Genomic DNA, 19,733 nt, shown 5'->3' with positions numbered 1-19,733 from the left:
CCACGTCTCTGTAGAGATTTGCTTTCTCTGCTTTTGGGTGTGTGGAGAAGGTGGCTGATGCACAGCGCCTGGATTTATGTTATTTAGTTCCAGGGACACACTGTGCCTGACATCTTTTTTTTTTTTTTTCTTTTTCTTTTTTTGAGACAGTGTCTCCCTCTGTCACCCAAGCTGGAGTACAGTGGTGTGATCTCAACTCACTGCAGCCTCTGCCTCCTGGGTTCAAGCGATTCTCTTGCCTCAGCCTCCAAGTAGCTGGGATTACCGGTGTGCGCCACCATGTCTGGCTAATTTTTTTTGTACTTTTAGTAGAGATGGAGTTTTGCCACGTTGGCCAGGCTGGTCTCGAACTCATGACCTCAGGTGATCCAACCACCTTGACCTCCCAAAGTGCTGGGGTTACAAGCATGAGCCACAGTGCCCGGCCATAGCCACCTGTTTCAAATCCAAATGCTGGGGGTGGGAAAATTGCATACTGTTAGACTTAAGTGTCTGCACGAGGGCTAATTCACTAGTTCATTTAGTGGAACCCACCTCAGTGAGTAGGAGGGGCTGTGTTCAGAGAAAGGGGGTTGTTGTGGACTAAGCCCACACCCAGGTTTTCCATTTTAAGTAAGATATCATGAAATCAAGTCTTACAGCTGTTGAAATTGCTCTCCGAAAGCGCAATTACAATTAGGTCTTAAAAGAGGAGAGAGCCCAGGGAGTATTACGCATATATTTCCTTAAATTTGTATTTAGATAGGAAAACAGTTGTTAATAGTGATTAAATATCACTCATCGTCACCTATGAGTAATGTTTAATAGCAAGGAAAATCTAATTTACAGTCAACATTTATTGAATGCTTTCTTTATGTAAGCCTTGTATCTGAGATTTTTTTTTTTTTTTTTTTTTTTTTTTTTGAGACAGAGTCTCACTCAGTCACCCAGGCTGGAGTGCCGTGGTGCAGTCTCACCTCACTACAACCTCCACCTCCCGAGTTCAAGTGATTCTGCTGCCTCAGCCTCCCAAGTAGCTGGGACTACAGACATGTGCCACAATGCCCAGCTCATTTTTGTATTTTTGGTAGAGACGGGGTTTCACCACGTTGGCCAGGCTGGTGAACTCCTGAGCTCAGGTGATCCGCCCACCTTGGCATCCCAAAATGCTGGGATTACAGGCCTGACTGCACTGGGCCTCGTATGTGAGACTTCTGTGTATTGTCTGTAGGTCTCTGCAGGGATTGTTACCAGGATCACCCCCGCCCCCACCGTCAATACCAAAATCTGAGAATGCCTAAGTTCGTTATATAAAATATTGTAGTCTTTGCATATAAAAACACATCCTTCCATAGACTGTAAACCATCTCTAGGTTACTTTTAATACCTAATGTAAGTGCTATGTAAATACATTTATACTAGTTATGTTATAGTGTATTTTGTATTGTTGTTTTTTTTTCTCCCGACTATGTTCAATCTGCAGTTGGCTGACTGTAAATACAAGCAAGTTTGAAAGACCACTCAGCACCATGCTGCATTCTAACTGAGGTTTGTTTAACCCTGCAGAAGGACCTCGTTATTAAGTGGGCTTTGACTGGGAATATTCCATGAAGAGGTAGTTGTGTCATTCTTTGCCTGCAGATGGGACCGGCGCTGATGCTGAATGGCTTGGCGGCCCAGTAGGAACCTAAGCACCTTGACTTCACTCTGAAATGCCTGCGTAGTCATGCGACTCAGTATCGGGCTGTGTGTCTTGTCACTTTTATTTTTAGGCCCCCACTGGGGTAACCCAGGTTGGCCAGGCTGCCTCACCAGGAGACTGTACCTGAGCTCTGTTTGCCCAGTGCCTGGTGGCCATGGGTCCAGATGTTTGTCCTAGTAATTTATTCTAAACAGCTACATCGAAAACATCTTTGTCAGCATACTTGCTGTGGTTACTATGATAATTTTACTCTTCTATGATATAATGTCTCTTTTATGATAGTTAAGTTAATAGAGTGAGAATTTCATTGAAGATTTTAACAAAGAACTTGCAAACTTAGGAAACTTGTTCATATGTACACATGGCTGCTTTCTGTGCGACCATCTAGCTTAGAAAAGCTTCCACCTGGCAGGTGTGTAGGGCGTGATGCATGCTGTCGTGTAGACCCTTTACATTTGAGGATTTAGCATTTGAGGTCTCAGATACTCATGATGCAGCCTGAAGTTTCAGGATCCCGGAGGTGGTACGGTATTTTTCTCCTATTCTGTAGATTGGGAAGGTTGAGGTATCCAAAGGTGAAGCCATTAGCTCTGACTCTTCTAATTTGTGGTGTTGCTTTAAAAAAAAAATTATGGTAAAATATATATAACATGAAATTTACGTTTTCAACCATTTTTGAGTGTACGGTTCAGTGGCATAAAGTACATTCACAAAGTTGTGTAACTATCACCAGTATTTTCAGAACTTGTTCATCATCCCACACAGAAACTGTACCCATTTAACAATAGCTCCCCATGTTCCCCTGCCCCAGCCCCTGGTAACCTCGAATTGACTTTCTGTCTCTATTCATTTGACTACTCCAGGTGCTTTATGTAAGTGGAATCATCCAATATTTGTCCTTTTCTGGTTTTTTTTTTTTTTTTTTTTTTACTTATAATATTTTCAGGGTTCAGCCATGTTGCAGCATGTAACAGAATTTCATTCTTTTTTATGGCTGAATAATATTCCACTGTATGTATAGATCACATTTTGTTTATCCACTCATCTGTCAGTGGTGGCCACTGACACCTTTGATGGTGTCCACTTTTTGGTTATTGTAAATACTGCTGCTGTGAACATGGATGTACAGATTTCTTGGAGTCTCTATTTTCTGCTTTTGGGGGTATAAGAGTGGAATGCTTGATCATATGGCAATTCTATGTTTATCTCTTGGAGGAACCACAGAATTGTTTTCCATAGCTGCTGCACCACTTGACATTTCCACCAGCAACGCAAGGGGGTTCCAATTTCTCCATATCCTCACCAGCATTTTGATCATAGGTGTCCTAACGAGTATGAAGTGGTATCTGATTGTGGTTTTGATTTGCATCTCGCTAAAGACTAATGATGTTGAGCATCTTCTCATGAGATTCACCCCAATGCCTGGTGGCATCACCTCCGCTTCCTTTTCTTCACATTTTAGAAAGGGGTAAACTTACTTTCATTTTCTTCCCCAGTCCTTATCCTCTTCTGATTTGAGACTGAGGTGGTACTAGCCAGAATCAAGTAGGAAAAGCAACACCTTTGTTTCTTTTAGACACATGGAAACAAAGTCCTAACTGGTGTTCAGCTGTTTGGCGTTTATGCAGATGTGAAGGGCTAGTGTTTTCCCAAACTAGTAGTAGCTGCATTGTGGTTTAAATGGGTTTCAGATTGGAGGCCAGCCTGGGAGCTTCTTAACAGAATGCTATTAAGAGAGAAATGCTGTTAGTAGCGTTTATCTAGGAAAACGAGCTTTAAGTTAAATAAATCTCCAGGCAAACTTTGGAAGATTATATGCTTGTGGGTTGGGGACTGCCTTTACCAGCAGGATTGTTAAGGTCATATAATGAGGTGAGGGAGCTAAAGGAGAGAATGTAGATGTGAGGGCTGCACAGTGGGGAAGAACATGGACGTTGGAATGGTTAGGTGTGCCTCCTAGTCTTATTTTTATATAGTGTGCTGTGGGCCCTGGCTTCCACCTCAGAAATGCTAGTCATTGATCCATGCATGTGTAGATCTGTGTCCAAGCTGGTTGACATAGACAGGAGTGATGAGGGACATGTCAAGAGTTCTTCCTGGAAAGACCCTGTGGGATTTTGGTGCTCCATTGCTATGATTTGAATGTGACTCCCAAATTTTATATGTTTGGAGGTGGAGTCTTTGGGAGGTAATTAGATTTAGATAATTTCATCAGGTGTGGACCCCATGATGGGACTGGTGGCTTCCTAAGAAGAGAGACCTGAGCTGGCAGGCTCTTACTGTCTCACTATGTGATGCCCTTCTCCATGTTATGACACAGCAAGATGGTCCTTACCAGACACCAGTTTTGTGTTCTTGGACTCTAAGCCTGCAGAACCCTGAGCTAAATGAACTTTGATGGCTTATAAGTTACCCAGTCTATGGTGTAGCAACAGAAAACATAGTAACATATACATCAAAGTGAGGTATCTTACCCTAGATTTGCCTTTATGTAGGAAAGCCATTGATATAGACACTGGGCTTTTTGGCTTGTTTCAGGTAACCCCAGAGCATCTCTAGGCCACCTCTAATGACAGTGTGGCTAGCATGACTCTTGAAGACTCTTCCCCTGCTCCTGCACTACGTATGGTGATCTGAGACGTTGCAAAATATTTAAAAAATTCGGTTCAGAGACATTGATTTGCAGTGATGTTTAATACAGTCTTTTATTTTCCTTGGGGCTCTGATTCCTAATCTTTTTATTTTACTGTATATCTTTTTTCCTCTTGGATCCTCTCTGGCATAACAGGAGTAAAGAGAAATAATAGTCCTTCAGCCTAAATTAACATCTCATCCCAACTAGGTGAAAGTGGGGGAAAGTTGTGCATGTGTGTATATTGCATGAACAATATGGAAAGGAAGGATAATTTAGTTCATAGTAGTTTTTCTTCTGAACGTATCTTTGGGAGTTTAATCTCCTTTTGATTCTCTAATATGGATTAGTCTTGTTATATAATCTTCAAGTCTTTTCCATGCCAGTACTTTTCAAGGGCACCTTATGTTCATATGGTTTTTCCTTACCTTTTATTCCTTTGTGTGTTTTTTTGGTGCTGAATTACAGGTGATTGTTTCAGAAATTAGAAGAACTACTCTGGCTGTTTACAAAGTGATGATCTGAAATGCTTTTACTTAGTGCCTAGATTTTCTCTAACATTGAATGATAGTGGGTTATAAGAAGAAGTTGAACATACTTTGTCTGGTTTTGGGCCTAGTTTCTCTTTGTAGGAAAACTTAATCTGCTTTGCAACAACCTACTAGAGTACTGAATGTACTGGTTTCTTATGTTAATTGACATCAGTGATTGTAGCCATAAGTGCTTCCTTGGTATGACATCAGTAGAGAGTACACTGGCCTCTTCTACTGGGAAGCAGGACCAGATAATTATGTTTTAGCAGATATAATATGACAGTCATAATTATGAATCTCTTTAAATCCTCTGTGGTACAGTCAGTAGGGATATTGAAAACAATAGGGATTCAAGTTTGGATAATGCGAGTGAAATATTTATTCTTGTTTTCACCTGTAGCTTTGGGACACAAAGTATTTAATATAGTATAATGGTGTAGGACATCTTTAAATGTTTCAGTTATTTTGTTTTGTACATGTGTGTCTAGTTTCTATAGGCATTCCTTTTAATACATACGATGTTCTGAAGGTAGGATTAGTCTGCAGTATTCATGCCATTTCAAGGATAAAAATTAGAGTTTTATCCTAAATGCACTTGTATTTTGCTTTCTTTCATACATTTATGAGGCAAGATGATGGTAAACTAAAGGAGAGGAAGGAGATAATTCTGATCCTGATTCTGCTTCTAAATCATTGTGTCATCTTAAAAGTCATCCAGGCCACTACCCTGCACAATTCTGGGCCACCATGGCCATCATCTTTAATGTAAATGGACCAGTGAAGTTTCTGTCCATAGAATGTGGTGTGAATGGTGACTCATAGAGTTATGCAGTAGACACTAGTAGAAATCGTAACTTCTTTTCTCTAGATCTCAGTTTTCTCACATACAGAACTAGTAGATTGGGTTAAATGAACTCAGCCACTGTAAACACTGGACGATGAATTATCCATGTTAGTCGATCTCTTTTCCATGAGTGGACCCTGTTTATCGGAAAATAGTAAAATTGTCTTTGTTGTAAGAGTTGTATTTAATTTCAAGAGAATCTATCATAGGGTTTGTTTTCATGCGTAGACTGCCTGCTTGCAAGACTTCTTGGCATGCATTTCAGGTGTCTGATTCAGACAATCTGTTGTTGGAATTTGAAAGACATTTATTTAGGGACTACACTGACTATTTTGTAAAGTAACAGCTTTGATGACACTAGTTATTCACATTGCTGAGAGCAGATACGCTGGCCCAAGATTCTGAATAAAAGATTTGCAGATCTTTTAATTGCAATGTCTGTGAAAGAAACGTTGATTTGAAAACTTCATTGCATGAAGCATGTATTTGATTCCATTGGAGCATAAATTTATTTTGTTTTGATATTCAAAATTCCAAAAGTAATTACAAATATTTAAATAATTATATAAATGTATAAAGTAAACTTACAGTGCAGCCCCCTGCCTCCCCTTCCTCATCATTGACCTGAGATGGTGAACCACTGCTAATGAGAAGGTATGTATCTTTCAGGAACTTTTCCTTACACAGATTATTTTATTTATTATTAACTTGATAATTTTTGAGCAGTCTGAAGTTCCTAAGTTTAAAGGATATAACACTCCTAAGAACTTATTGGTATAGGTAATTAGTCAAGGGAGTGAGAAGTACAATTGTAGCCAGATTAATGTAGGTTATTCCTTACATCTAAATTCCAATTATATTATAGATGCATACTTAACATCTTACCTTTAAAACTTTTTTTCTTTTTCATTATCCAAATCACTGGAATATTCCAGTTTCTTTAATCCAGAAGCAGTCACCCAGCCACAGTGAATGCTGATTTAATCTGACAGGCAAAAGTGCCTTCTGTTTTCAGAGATGATCTGAAAATTGCTTAAAGAACTTGTCATGTTTTTGTTTGTTTACAGTTTTATTGCAAGTGATGTGTACAGTATAACCAAGAAACATCTGCGTACAAGTTTTCTGCCTGTAAAGCCTCAGAAAAGTCTGTGATGTTTCATTGGCAGAGAGTCCAAGGAAAATTCTTTAGTTTGGAAGAATAAAAAAGTCGTTACACTCAGCCCTATTACTGCTGCAAGGCTGAACTGTCTTTGAATAATCATAGTCCCCAGAGAGGCTTCATTGTACGGTCTGGTGTTTGTATTTCCTGTAGTCTGGTTGCAGTTTCTGCATTGCTCCATGAAAAAGACAGTCTCTGAGGTGCAACCAAAGGCATTAAAAAATTTTGTTTGGACAGATAACTCGAATAAGACATCTCTTGCTTAAGTTGATAGCAGTTGGTTTTGATATTCTGAGGAATATAGGTAAGTTAGCTTGGTATGGTTGATTTGGGGCATTTAAATTAAAACCACTCAAGTTTCAAAAGGGATTTTTTTTTGAAGCTGCTCTTTAAATCTTAGATGCTTTCCACCTGCTTATATTTTGTTTGTGGTATTTATCATACTTTATTAGATTACCCCTACTTCAGGCTAAATTCTAGAACGTTTGAAAATGCTAAGATGATTATGCAGAAAAGTGAGTATCCCCTTATGTACTTTTTGTAAAGGATAATAATCAAATGCAGGGCTCTGCTTTGGGTTAAAATATCAAGTACAAAAACTCTCATTAAGCAACATGTAAAAATGTTGTATATTATTACAAATGACTGTGGTTATTTTATGGTTACACCAACAATTGTATGGAGTGCGGCAGGAAATTATTATGTATTATATACTTTATATGTCATCTGAAGTGTCTAGAACCTTGCTTATTTCTCACTTTTGCATTGTGATTCTGACTGTAGTGCTTCCCCCCCAACCCCCCCCGTGTGTGTGTGTGTGTGTGTGTGTGTGTGTGTGTGTGTGTGTGTGTAAGCAAAGAGTGTGGCAGTGGGTCAGAGAGAGAAGAAAACTGAAACTGCTTGAGTGCTTATGATTTAAAATGATCTGAGCATTTTAATTTGGCTTTCATGTCGTCTTCACAGCAAGAGATGAGGATTGAGGGAAACACAACTTTGTTATTTCTGCTGCTTTTATGATATGTTTAAAGAATATAGGATGCCCTGAAAATGTTAAACCATTTTCCTTATTAAGATTACTGACTAAGGGCCGGGCGCGGGTGGCTCACGCCTGTAATCCCAGCACTTTGGGAGGCCGAGGCGGGTGGATCACGAGGTCAGGAGATCGAGACCATCCTGGCTAACGCGGTGAAATCCCGTCTCTACTAAAAATACAAAAAATTATCTGGGCGTGGTGGCGGGCGCCTGTAGTCCCAGCTACTGGGGAGGCTGAGGCAGGAGAATGGCGTGAACCCGGGAGGCGGAGCTTGCAGTGAGCCGAGATCGCGCCACTGCACTCCAGCCTGGGCGACAGAGCGAGACTCTGTCTCAAAAAAAAAAAAAAAAAAATTACTGACTAAGCCTTCAGAAATGCAGTTTTAAGAGTTTGTGAATGTGTAAGGTCTTCCACATGCTGGTTTGGAGGTTTTAGGAAGTTGTTGAGCCAAAAAAAAAAAAAAAAAAGGAATAAAAGCATTTTTTGGAATGAACTTGAGGAATCAGAATTCTTGAACCTTAGCAGGTCAGTGAATTGATTTTGTCTGGAATCTTTATACTTCCCGCAGGCTTTGCTGGGAGCTTCTCCTTCGGGGTGCTGTCTTTGCTATCACCAGCTAGGGGCTTGCTCCTCCACCCCCAAGCAGAGGCTTTTTAATTGCATAGTGTGAGTTATCTAAGACAAACTGACTATACTGTGCTATTGACTGAGTAAGTCAGTTTTCCACTCCAATGCCCATTTAAATTGTAACCATATTAAAAAAACAAAAACAAAAATCCCCCGAAAACTCCAGAAGTGTAAACAAAATACCATTAATTGTTTAATCTTTATTGGTGTAAACATGATTTTTTGGGAGATTCTTTGACTTTTCTGGTGTGTTGATATCAGTTTTAGAGGACTTTGGAATGCTGTCTGCCCACCAGGACTCTCTCTTCTCTGCTGGTGGTCTTGTAATGGTTTTTTGTTTTTGTTTTTTGTTTTGGAGGTAGGAGACTTCTATCTTCTTATAAGTCACTTGATAATTTTTGACTGTTTGTATAAAAATGTTCTAATTGCTGCAAAAAGGCTCTTAAAGATATTTTAAATACAAACCTCATGTGGCTTTGAGGGTGGGTAGGGAAAGGGGGTGATATATTTTTGTTGAGGTCATTTTAATTTTTTTTTTTTACCATGGCATAAACAGAGTTTCTCTCATAGCTTTCTTTGTTGTATATGATTTTCTTTTAAAAAGTCTTAAATGTGTGTGTTTTAGAAAGAAGCAAATTAGTTTTCCTTGGATAATTAAACTAGTATCTGTCTCTATGCTTAATAAATTATTCATTTTAACCCAGATCTCTTATTCATGTTTTGAACCTCTCTTTTATTTATTTTGGATTGAGTAAAAGACCTTCAAGACCCTGGAAAATCCTGAATTAATATCCTGAGCTCACATATTAGTTTATTTGAAGAAAGAGAAGAGAGAACATTATAAAACTCTCCTAGTTTATACTCAAAGCGTAAATCCTTCGTGTATCTCTCTAGAATGTGATACATTATTTATACAGCTCTCTGATACTATCTGCTGTGGCTTCCTTCTTTAAATATTAATGTAAGTGAAGTAGTCTTTTAAAATAATGTTTAATTCAACAGACCTGTATTGGGCACATATTGTGTGCCAGCCTCTCTGCTGCTCAGGGCAGAGGACACAGCAGTGGCCTTTTAAGCGTGTCTGGCTTGTCCTCTCCTTTGCCTCGTGCTGCCACTGCCAGGAGTTCCCATCTGCCCTAGCAGTTTCGTGCGTCTAGTCTCTCCTCACTAGGACATCTTCCACCTTTAGCCAATTCGAAGCATCAGTCTCCATCATAACTCCTTTGGCAGACTCCCATTGCTCTCAGAGTAGAAGCCAAACTCTTGAGCTGACCAAACCGTTGGCTCTTTATCTTCATGTTCCCCAACCCCCAAACTTGGAGCATCTTGCTGCACTTCAGTCTCTTTCACACCGTTTTTTTTTTTTTTTTTTAAGAGACAGGGTCTTGCTCTATCACCCAGGCTGGAGTGCAGTAGCGTGATCATGGCTCACTGTAACCTCGAAATCCTGGGCTCAGGCAGTCCTCCTGCCCTCAGCCTTCAGAGTAGCTGGGACCATAGGTGTGCACCCCCATGCCTGGTTGATTTTTTTTTTTTTTTAAAGAGATGGGGTTTTGCTGTGTTGCCCAGGCTAGTCTCAAACTCCAGGCCTCAAGCAATCCTCCTGCCTTGGACTCCTAATGTTTTGGGATTACAGCTATGAGCCACTGTACCCAGCCCCTTTTACCTCCTCTCACTCTTTTTTTTTAAACTGCTAATGGAAGCTTTAATCACCACATGGAAAAACAATACATTCATATATCAAAATTGGCCCCAAATTCCTTATCATCATCATCAACAGTCTAGAAATGAAATGACACATAATATAAAACTTTCCTGTTTATAACTAAAAGATTTATGAAACTGTTTTTTATAAATGCCTTTTTTTTTTTTTTTTTTTTTTTTACCCTGAGGATGATATCACCAAAGTGAAAAAAGAAAAGTCGGTCATTATCAGCTGGAATGTATTCAGCATAGAGTTTTAAAAACCATTTGTCATTATTCTGGAGTGATTTCCATTCATTCTCCCCACCCACACTATGTGATGATAACAGGAAAAGATGGCAAATGGTTGTGCCAGTCTTATTATATACTGGTCATATAATTCTCAAATATACTGATCATATGATTGTCAATTCAGTCTACCTACTAAAAGAAGAAAATAAAATTTTAACATCCATTAACTCTGCACTATCATACTTTAAAATATGATTAAAAGAAAGATCATATTTTAAAATATACTGGTCATACAATTCTCAGATATACTGATTATATGATTCTCAATTCAATCTACCTACCAAAACAAGAAAATAAAATTTTAACATCCATTAACTCTGCACTATCATATTTTAAAATATGTATCAAAATCAATTCTCTGTTATAAAAGAGGGGTTGGCTGTACATTCTCAGACCCCACAACAACAACAAACCACCAGAAAACCAGGACAATACTTTCTTACACAGGCTCCTGCCATGCGTTCTACAAATTTCATATAAGCCAACTAGGTAAGTTCAGAGTTCGCATAGATTGCCTCACAAATACTTAACTCTGGGCTCTTAGTCACCTTCAGATAAGATCTGCAAATGTCTAAAAGAAAAATAACTCCCAAATGGTGCAACAGTTATTCCAGTCAAGTGCTGAGAGAGGTTTGCCTATTAAACTTGAAAAAAGATAGCCATGTTGAGTAGTAGGAGGAGATCTCATGGAGGAAGGAGACTTGTATGTGGCCTTTGGCATGAGTGGGAATTAAACATTTTCTCATTCTCATTAAGGATGATGATTACTTGTGTACTGGGTGTACTCACATGTGATGGTCTGCAGACATTTAATTACCCATTAGTTGCCAAGTTTCTGTTCTTTTTAAAATTGCATGGATACTGATAAGACTTGTTTTTGCTAATACCGTATGCTTTCAGTTTTATGATCTTTGACAGCTGTAGCAAACTTGAACTTGGTGACAAAAATTCACTAAATCGGCACCCAGTGTCAACCAGTCTTAAAATGCCTCTAAAGTGACAATTAAGCTTTTTTATTTAAACAAAGGTAAACTAATGCTAGCATAAAGGTCTCTTAATTTGTAGTGTATAATTTATAGTATGTAAAGTATATAATTTCATATAGTAAATGATATCTTAAATGATAATTAGTGGAGAGGATTTGTGAAAAGTAAGAACCAATTTTTGGTGCTATTTCTGTTTGTTGTTAGGTAATTTAGAAGCCCTATGGTACCTGATTTTGTGAGTGGTTATTTTTATGAAGAGATGTAGTAATGGACTTTACGAGAAAATTGAGAGTATACTGTCCTTGAATTGAGTTGACCTGTCTCTGAAAGAGCCAAGAAATAAAAATAAAACCAAAAAAATTGTGTGTGCATTTGTGTGTGTGTGTGTGTGTGTGTGTGTGTGTGTGTGTGTGGTGTCTGTATTTTAATGATGGTGAAGTATAGATGACAGCTAGTCTTTTTTTTTTTTTTTTGAGACAGAGTCTTGCTCTGTTTCCTAGGCTGGAGTGCAGTGGCATAATCTCAGCTCACTGCAACTTGTGCCTCTGGGTTCAAGTGATTCTTCTGCCTCAGCCTCCCTAGTAGCTGAGATTACAGGTGCACACCACCACGCCTGGCTAATTTTTGTATATTTTGTAGAGAAAGAGTTTTGCAAGGCTGGTCTTGAACTCCTGACCTCAGGTTATCTGCCTGCCTCGGCCTCCCAAAGTGCTGGGATTACAGGCATGAGCCACCATGCCCAGCCAATGACAGCTAGTTTTGATTCATCACGGCAAGGTTCCCCAATTCCTGGGCTGTGGCCTGTTAGGAACAGGGCTGCACAGCAGGAGGTAGGCTTCAGGCGAGGGGGCAAAGCTTCGTCTGTGTTCACAGCCACTCCCCATCGCTTGCATTAGTGCCTGAGCTCCACCTCCTGTCATGTTAGCGACAGCATCAGATTCTCCTGGGAGTGTGAACCCTATTGTGAACTGTGCATGCGAGGTATCTAGGTTGCGAGCTACTTATGAGAATCTAATGCCTAATGATCTGTCACTGTCTCCCATCACTTCCAGATGGGACTGTCTACTTACAGGAAAACAAACTGAGGGCTCCCACTGATTCTACGTTATGATGAGTTATATAATTATTTGATTATGTATTACAATGTAATACTAATAGAAATAAAGTGTACAGTAATCATAATATGCTTGAATCCTCCCCCTCCTCCTGGTCCGCAGAAAAGTTGTCTCCCATGAAACCAGTCCCTGGTGCCAAAAAGGTTGGGGACCACGGGATTAGGGCATAGACTAGTTCAGGGGTCAGCAAGCTACAGTCCACGGCCAAGTCTGGCCCACTGCCTCTTTTTTGTAAATCATTTTACTGGGATGCAGTTGCGCTTGTTCATTTCCATATCGTCTGTGGCGTCTTTGATTCTACAACAGCAGACTTGAATAAATGCAGCACAGACCGCACATCCTGTAAAGCCTAAGATATTTTATATTGGCCTTTTTCAGAAATGGCTTGCCAGCCCTTGGACTAGATTAACGTGTGAAGACGTCTTAAAAGAAGCAGACCTGGGGAAGATATAAAGATGAAACAGGAACAGGGAAATTGTTCAGTGTGTAGGGGATGCATTATTATAAACTATTGTTTAATGGGTTTTCTTTCATAAAATTGCAGGTACATAGAAATTACCTTTTTTTTTTTTTTGCAGTTTTCTTTCATAAAAATGCAAGTGCATAGAAATTACCATTTTTCCCTGCTATTTTAGAACCTCTTAGCTTGGATTTCTGAACAATATCAGTGAGTAAGAGGATAGGTCAGATGTCACCAGCTACCCTGATTCTCTGTATCCCCAAGGATTTGTAGATCATAGAGTTTTTTCATATTAAACAAGCACAGGCCTGTAACATCTTTGTTTTGACAAAACAAAAGATGACTAAAATGACATAGTTCTTAACTGTTGTTCTCTTCTTTCAAAGTAGTTACAGTATTTAAGAATATCTATCATCACTGTTCTTTCCCCACCAAAAAACCCTTTAAAACATTCAGGTATAATTTATTTCTTGCTCGCTGAGATCTGGGTGGCTGTTTACAATTTGTGGGCACTAATCCTCCAAGGAGGGATTCAGGGATCCAGGCTTGTTCCATCTTGTGGTTCCGTCATCTTTAACACGTTTCCACACTTGGCTTGCTTTGTTCATCTGTGTGGTCACATAAGAACATGAAGGATTATGTGTGAGTTCTATGGTCCAGGCCCAGAGGTGGTACATATGATGTCCACTCACATTCTGCTGTCTGGAACACACAGCATTACCTGCAAAACACATAGAAACATAATATCTGTGTGCTAGAAAGAAGAGGAGATGAGTTAGATAACCAGCCAGCCACAGTTACTTGTGTTTCCCTTTGCCTGGGGCTCCAGGCTGGGTAGGGTACTGTTAATCCTGTTGCCTTAGTGCCTCCAGCGAGTATCTCCCTCAGTGCACCGTCGTCCTGGCTCTGGTGGGCAGCTCATTCCCAAGAGAAAAAAAGAGGTCGGGCCATTCTGGGTTTGTGCAGCTAATTCTCACTAAATTTACAAAAATCCACTAAGTCACTTCACTTCTCCTGGATGGAGTGAGTCAAAAGCCAGGAGTGTTATACAAATTAAACTCCCTCCACGTGGAAGGAATAAGCCGAAGTGGTATGGAAACAACATTCTCTGCATTTCCAGTTATTTTCTAGATGCAAAATATGAGCTGTCTTGAGAGCAGCATTCAAAAGCATAAATTAAGAGTCCAAATGTAGAGAAAGTCTGTATCTACTTTAAGAAATGGTACCGGCCAGGCGTGGTGGCTCACGCCTGTAATCCCAGCACTTTGGAAGGCCGAGGTGTGTAGATCACAAGGACAGGAGTTCAAGACCAGCCTGGCCAAGATGGTGAAACCTTGCCTCTACTAAAAACACAAAAAATTAGCTGGGCGTGGTGGTGGGCACCTGTAATCCCAGCTACTCAGGAGGCTGAGGCAGAGAATTGTTTGAACACGGGAGGGGGAGGTTGCAGTGAGCCAAGATTGCGCCATTACACTCCAGCCTGGGGGATAGAGCAAGACTTCGTCTCAAAAAAAAAAAAGGTACCATTGGATGTGAAAGCAGTCAGCCCTGACAGCCACTGTTGTTTTTGATCTGGTCAACTGGACAGGTGTTTCTCAAAGCTCTTTGCCGCATCTTTGCTAATCCAAGGTGGCCCATGGACCAAAAGGATTGGTATCACCAGGGAGAAGGATAGAAATGCAGAATCTCAGGCCCCATCCTTGCCTTCTGAATCAGTCAGTTGACCAACCAAAGGCCCAGTTGATTTGTGGGCACATTAAAGTCAGAGAAATACTGTTTCAGAATAAAAGGATGTAATTTCAAATTTATACTTGTTTTCTAAATTATTTAAGGTATAACTTGTATTACTTCATAGCCGTCCACCATTTTGAAATGCATTAAATCAACTCTAGTTTCCTGCTGTTGATTTAAGCAACTTCATAGGAAATCGTTATGCTTTTAGGAAATTGACCACCAAGTACTCCTCTACTCGGTTCCTAGGTGGTAGACATGCTCCGTTAAACGTAGTGCTTGAGGTGGCTATTAAGTTTGATGAAAGGTAGGCTGCAAGAGCAAATTTAAGAATGTAAGCTTGCATTATGAAAAATAGTAGGAAGTTGAGGCTTAGAGTAGAACTGTTAGCTACCTTGAATGGTTTTAACAGGAGGTGGAGTCTTATGAATATATTTTTTATAATACATGCTGCTGATGACATTTTGTTCAGCTGCTTAATTTTTGTTTTTGTTTTGTTTTGTTTTTGAGACAAAGTCTTGCTCTGTCACCTGGGCTGGAGTGTGGTGGTGTGATCTCGGCTCACTGCGACCTCCGCCTCCTGAGTTCCAGTGATTCTCCTGCCTCAGCCTCCTGAGTAGGTGGGATTACAGGCACCTGCCACCATACCTGGCAATTTTTGTATTTTTAGTAGAGACGGGGTTTCACCATGTTGGCTAGGCTGGTCTCAAACTCCTGGCCTCAAGTGATCCGCCCACCTCGGCTTCCCAAAGTCTTGGTATTATAGGCCTGAGCCACTGCACCAGGCCTCAACTGCTTCGTTTTTAGTAAGATAAAATGATAGCTTAGATGTTGTGCCAATGTCATCTTTTTTGATTCAAGGGAGGTTGAAGATCAGGTAATATTTTGGGTTTTAAAGCTTACAGAGCTAAACTACTATTGTGATTTGTGAGTTCTTAAAAACTTTTAAGAAGACTGATAATGGCTTTATGATTTGGAAGCTATAAATTATAACTGTATTTGTATTCACATCTTAAAGGACTGGCGTGCCATATATTAACATAAATAAGTAGTAAAATTACATTCTGTGTGGTTATAAAGTAATGAAGCCAGTTCTTATGTTTTACTTTTGGAAACATTCTTGATTTTATAGTTATAATATGGTGTTACAAGGTTAACTATATTAGGTCCAAATTATTAAGCTAGACACTGTGGGTAATAGGGAGATATAGAAGACATCTACTCTTATATAAGCCTCTATTGAGTTTCTAGTTCAGTTGGTGAAATAAGGCACACAGCTATTGTATAATCTGCTATTGACAACTGATTTGGTCACGTCATGCAGTTGATTTCTCAGAGGTTTCTCATTTGTAAAATGAAGTTTGAATTGGATCTTTAAAATTTCTTCTAGCATTAATATGGTAATGATGATGAATTCTATTATATGATAATAATTGTAATTAATATAATGATTCAGTTCTTTAGGTGTGTCTCTTCACATGAAGAAATAATGGAATTTTTTATCTTTGGGGAATAAACAATCACTTTTCTTAAGCTAAGATTTAGAAAGTTTTTTTTCCAAAGGCATTGGAATTATACCTCAAAGCTTGTACTAGTAGTTCTTTGACCATTTCTTTCAGCACATATTTACTAATTTTTAATCCTTATAAATCCTTAGGGAAATATATATTTTGGTAACCGTTTAAGAGGAGCTGCTCTGTTACATTCCCAGCTCTTTAATAAGTGGGGAATTTGTTCTCTCTGGTCCAAAATGTTCTCTGAAAAAGATCTCCTTGTTTTCCCAAATGATTCTCTTAGAAAGGAAACTTGATCATTCTGCTTTGTTCTGGAGTGTTACACAAGTGTTATACCTTTGTTCTGGTGTTATACCTTGTTCTGGTGTTATACCTTTGTTCTGGTAGGTAGTACTACCAAAAGAGAACTTGAGAAATTATCCCTTTGGGTGAGGATGGTTTGTTTCAAGTTTTTTTTTTTTTTTTCCCTCCAGCACACTCTCTGTCTTTTTATTTTTTAACTTTCTGCATCTTGTTTAATCAAAATATTTCTAAGATGGCAACTTTGAAGGCTTTACAAATAGCAACTACAGCAATATGAAGACTTTGCTTATGAGTCAGGTGAGATGAAGGCAAAGAATATATATGTCGAGCAAGTGGTGCAAGCTTAGGACCCATTCTTAAAGTCGGGGAGAAATAAAATAGGCAGTAAAACAAAATGGCCAACTTTTAACTCTTTTGACAAACTCCTGAGCGAAGGCCGGTCACCCCTTTTCTGTCCTTGGCTTTGTCTTCATGGTGGTGGTGGTGGTGACTTAAAGCCATTGTTTTCTTTTCATGAATGGTGAGGTTGATCTTCCATCTTGCTGGAACTGATCAGCTTAACTGCAGAACCTTTTTGATATCCAAATCCCTGTACCACTATTTTTTTACTCTTGTCTACAAAGTAGAAGAGATGTCAGTAAATTTATTTTATATAAAAACAATCCTTAAGTATTTATGAACACATGTTTGTGGGTTTTTTAGTCTCTTTGCTCACCAATTTGAAATTTGTTTTATTTTGTTTTGTTTTCTTTTAATAGTGATAGGGTCCCTGTCACCCAGGCTGAAGTGTGGTGGCATGATCATAGCTTACTGCAGCTGTGAACTACTGGGCCCAGGTGATCCTTTCTCCCTAGCCTTCTGAGCAGCTGGGACTACAGGCATGCACCACCGTGCTAAAAAAAAAAAAAAAAAGAAAAGAAATCGTAGAGGTAGGGTCCTGCTATGTTGCCCAGGCTAGTCTTGAACTCCTGGGCTCAAATGATGCTCCTGCCTCAGCCTCCCAAAGTGCTGAGATTACAGGCATGAGCGACCACACCCAATCTCTTTTTGTGAATTAAAAAAAAATCATAAACCCAAGTGTACTAAAATGTTAAGTGAAAGTTAAATGGTTGATGGCTTCTTTATTTTTCTGTTACTCTTGTAAACCACTAGCTTGTAAATCTAAAACATTTAACCTTAACTTTAGTGGCGTTTCACAACCGTTAAAAATGTTTTTATAGTATAATGACATGGGAAAATGCTTCAGAGACAATGCTGACCACAGTATATGAGTCTTAAAAGCAAAACTCAGTATATAATATATATATTTTATATTACGTATTTTTATATATAAATATATAAAAAGAAAGAGAACTTTTATATATATATATAAAATATACATATATAGTAACATGCACATTATAAAGAATCCTGCCCCCTTTTTAAATATAGCAATTTGGCAAATGATCAGATGTCAAAGATTGTGAAGATTTCAGTTTAGTATTATTTATAAATGAGAAAAGCTGGACCCCTTTTCTACAAAAAGTTTTTTAAAAAAATTAGCTGGGCATGCTGGCACATACCTGTAGTCACAGCTACTCGGGAGGCTGAGGTGGGAAGATCGCTTGAGCCTAGGAGGTTGAGGCTGCAGTAAGCTGTAATCACATCACTGCACTGCAGCTTGGGTGACAAAGTGAGACCTTGTCTCAAAAAAAAGAAAAATAAAAAAAGACAACTGGTAAAAACAAACATAGGACTAGTGATAAAATTATTTATCCTCTTACATACTTATTTAAAAAATAACCTTGGGGCCGGGCATGGTGGCTCATGCCTGTAATCCCAGCACTTTGGGAGGCCGAGGCGGGCGGATCACGAGGTCAGGAGATCAAGACCATGCTGGCTAACACAGTGGAACACCATCTCTACTAAAAATACAGAAAATGAGCCGGGCATGGTGGCGGGCGCCTGTAATCCCAGCTACTCGGGAGGCTGAGGCAGGGTAATCGCTTGAACCCGGGAGGCGGACGTTGCAGTGAGCCGAGATCGCGCCACTGCACTCCAGCCCGGGCGACAGTGCCAGACTCCGTCTCAAAATAAATAAATAAAAAATAACTTTGACATATGAGCCCTTAATTCAATTTATATGAGGTTTAAAAATCATCTTTTATGCACTTCAGAAGAGGAAACTTGAGTAATAAAAATGCCATTAATTGAAGCTAACAATTATTTACAAAGACAGTTCCCACGATCTATGCTAAGTGCGTGTTTGCAGTGCACTTTGCATATATTTGCTTATGCCACAGTCTGTTAACTGAGTATTAGCTGTTAGGGAAGCAGAAAGCTGTAGCATATTTAGTGCTTTTGGAAATTATATCCCCTGCATGTAAGCCTAAAAATGAATAAATATATTTCTTGATTTAAACATTTAGCTTGGATGTATTTTATACTGGAGGATTAAAAATGTTAATTTATGTTTCATAAAAGCTTTTATTAAGGCTCTTGCCAATAAACTATTCAGTGATTTCACTAAGGAGTTATATGGTAAAAAGGGTTCACAAATTTACACTTTCCATCAGTATATAAATCACGCAGCCTTCATTTTTGGATTCAAAATCGCTTTTTGGATGTGTATGTGTGCACATGCTGTTGAAATCAACATTGCAGCCTTTCTTTATTCCATTAAAGGCTGGTATCAGGATGCTTGGCCAGAAAGACACAGAGCACTGTTAGCGAAGAAAACTGATCGTTTCAGTTTTAACATAGTTCCTATTCTGGTTTTATTCAGGCCACTGAAGTTTGAATGCAGAGAAAACGCTGCAAGATAGAAAAATGAGACCTACTCTTCATTCGGCAAGTTGAATTAACACACGAAATGGCATTTTTTCCCTCCCTCATGGATATTTTTTTTTCTTTACAACAGTACTGTGACATCGGATTGACATTGAATACTAGGATTAGAAAATTAGTTCAAGTGTGTGCGTATCTGTTTGCAGTAGTAAAAAGAGTTAACAAATTTACACTTTCCATCAGAATATAAATCACACAGCCCTCATTTTAGGATTCACAATGACCTGTTTGCAGTCCTAGCTTGAACATTTGGACCTTTCTTTGGCACTGCAGTTTGACCAAAAGCATAATAAA

At 39.1% G+C, this 19,733-nt stretch overlaps 1 protein-coding gene across 9 annotated transcripts in view, besides 2 other annotated features; it reads left to right on the top strand.

Annotated features, from left to right (window-relative positions):
• The window catches only part of MTUS1 (microtubule associated scaffold protein 1), a 157,720-nt gene that overhangs the window by 23,940 nt on the left and 114,047 nt on the right, over positions 1 to 19,733 (top strand). The window lies entirely within an intron of this gene.
• Positions 11,789 to 12,288: an enhancer, noted in NCBI's record as "H3K4me1 hESC enhancer chr8:17622803-17623302 (GRCh37/hg19 assembly coordinates)". NCBI's record gives its function as "activates a minimal SCP1, AML or CMV promoter by ChIP-STARR-seq in naive H9 embryonic stem cells {active_cell/tissue: H9 hESC(naive)}" and the evidence as "EXISTENCE:reporter gene assay evidence [ECO:0000049][PMID:30033119]".
• Positions 12,289 to 12,790: an enhancer, noted in NCBI's record as "H3K4me1 hESC enhancer chr8:17622301-17622802 (GRCh37/hg19 assembly coordinates)". NCBI's record gives its function as "activates a minimal SCP1, AML or CMV promoter by ChIP-STARR-seq in naive H9 embryonic stem cells {active_cell/tissue: H9 hESC(naive)}" and the evidence as "EXISTENCE:reporter gene assay evidence [ECO:0000049][PMID:30033119]".

This window comes from Homo sapiens, chromosome 8, assembly GCF_000001405.40.
Source record: "Homo sapiens chromosome 8, GRCh38.p14 Primary Assembly".
NCBI classification, from domain to species: Eukaryota; Metazoa; Chordata; class Mammalia; order Primates; family Hominidae; genus Homo; species Homo sapiens.
The sequence above is the reverse complement of the archived record's forward strand: the minus strand, read 5'-3'. Positions and strand labels throughout refer to the sequence as shown.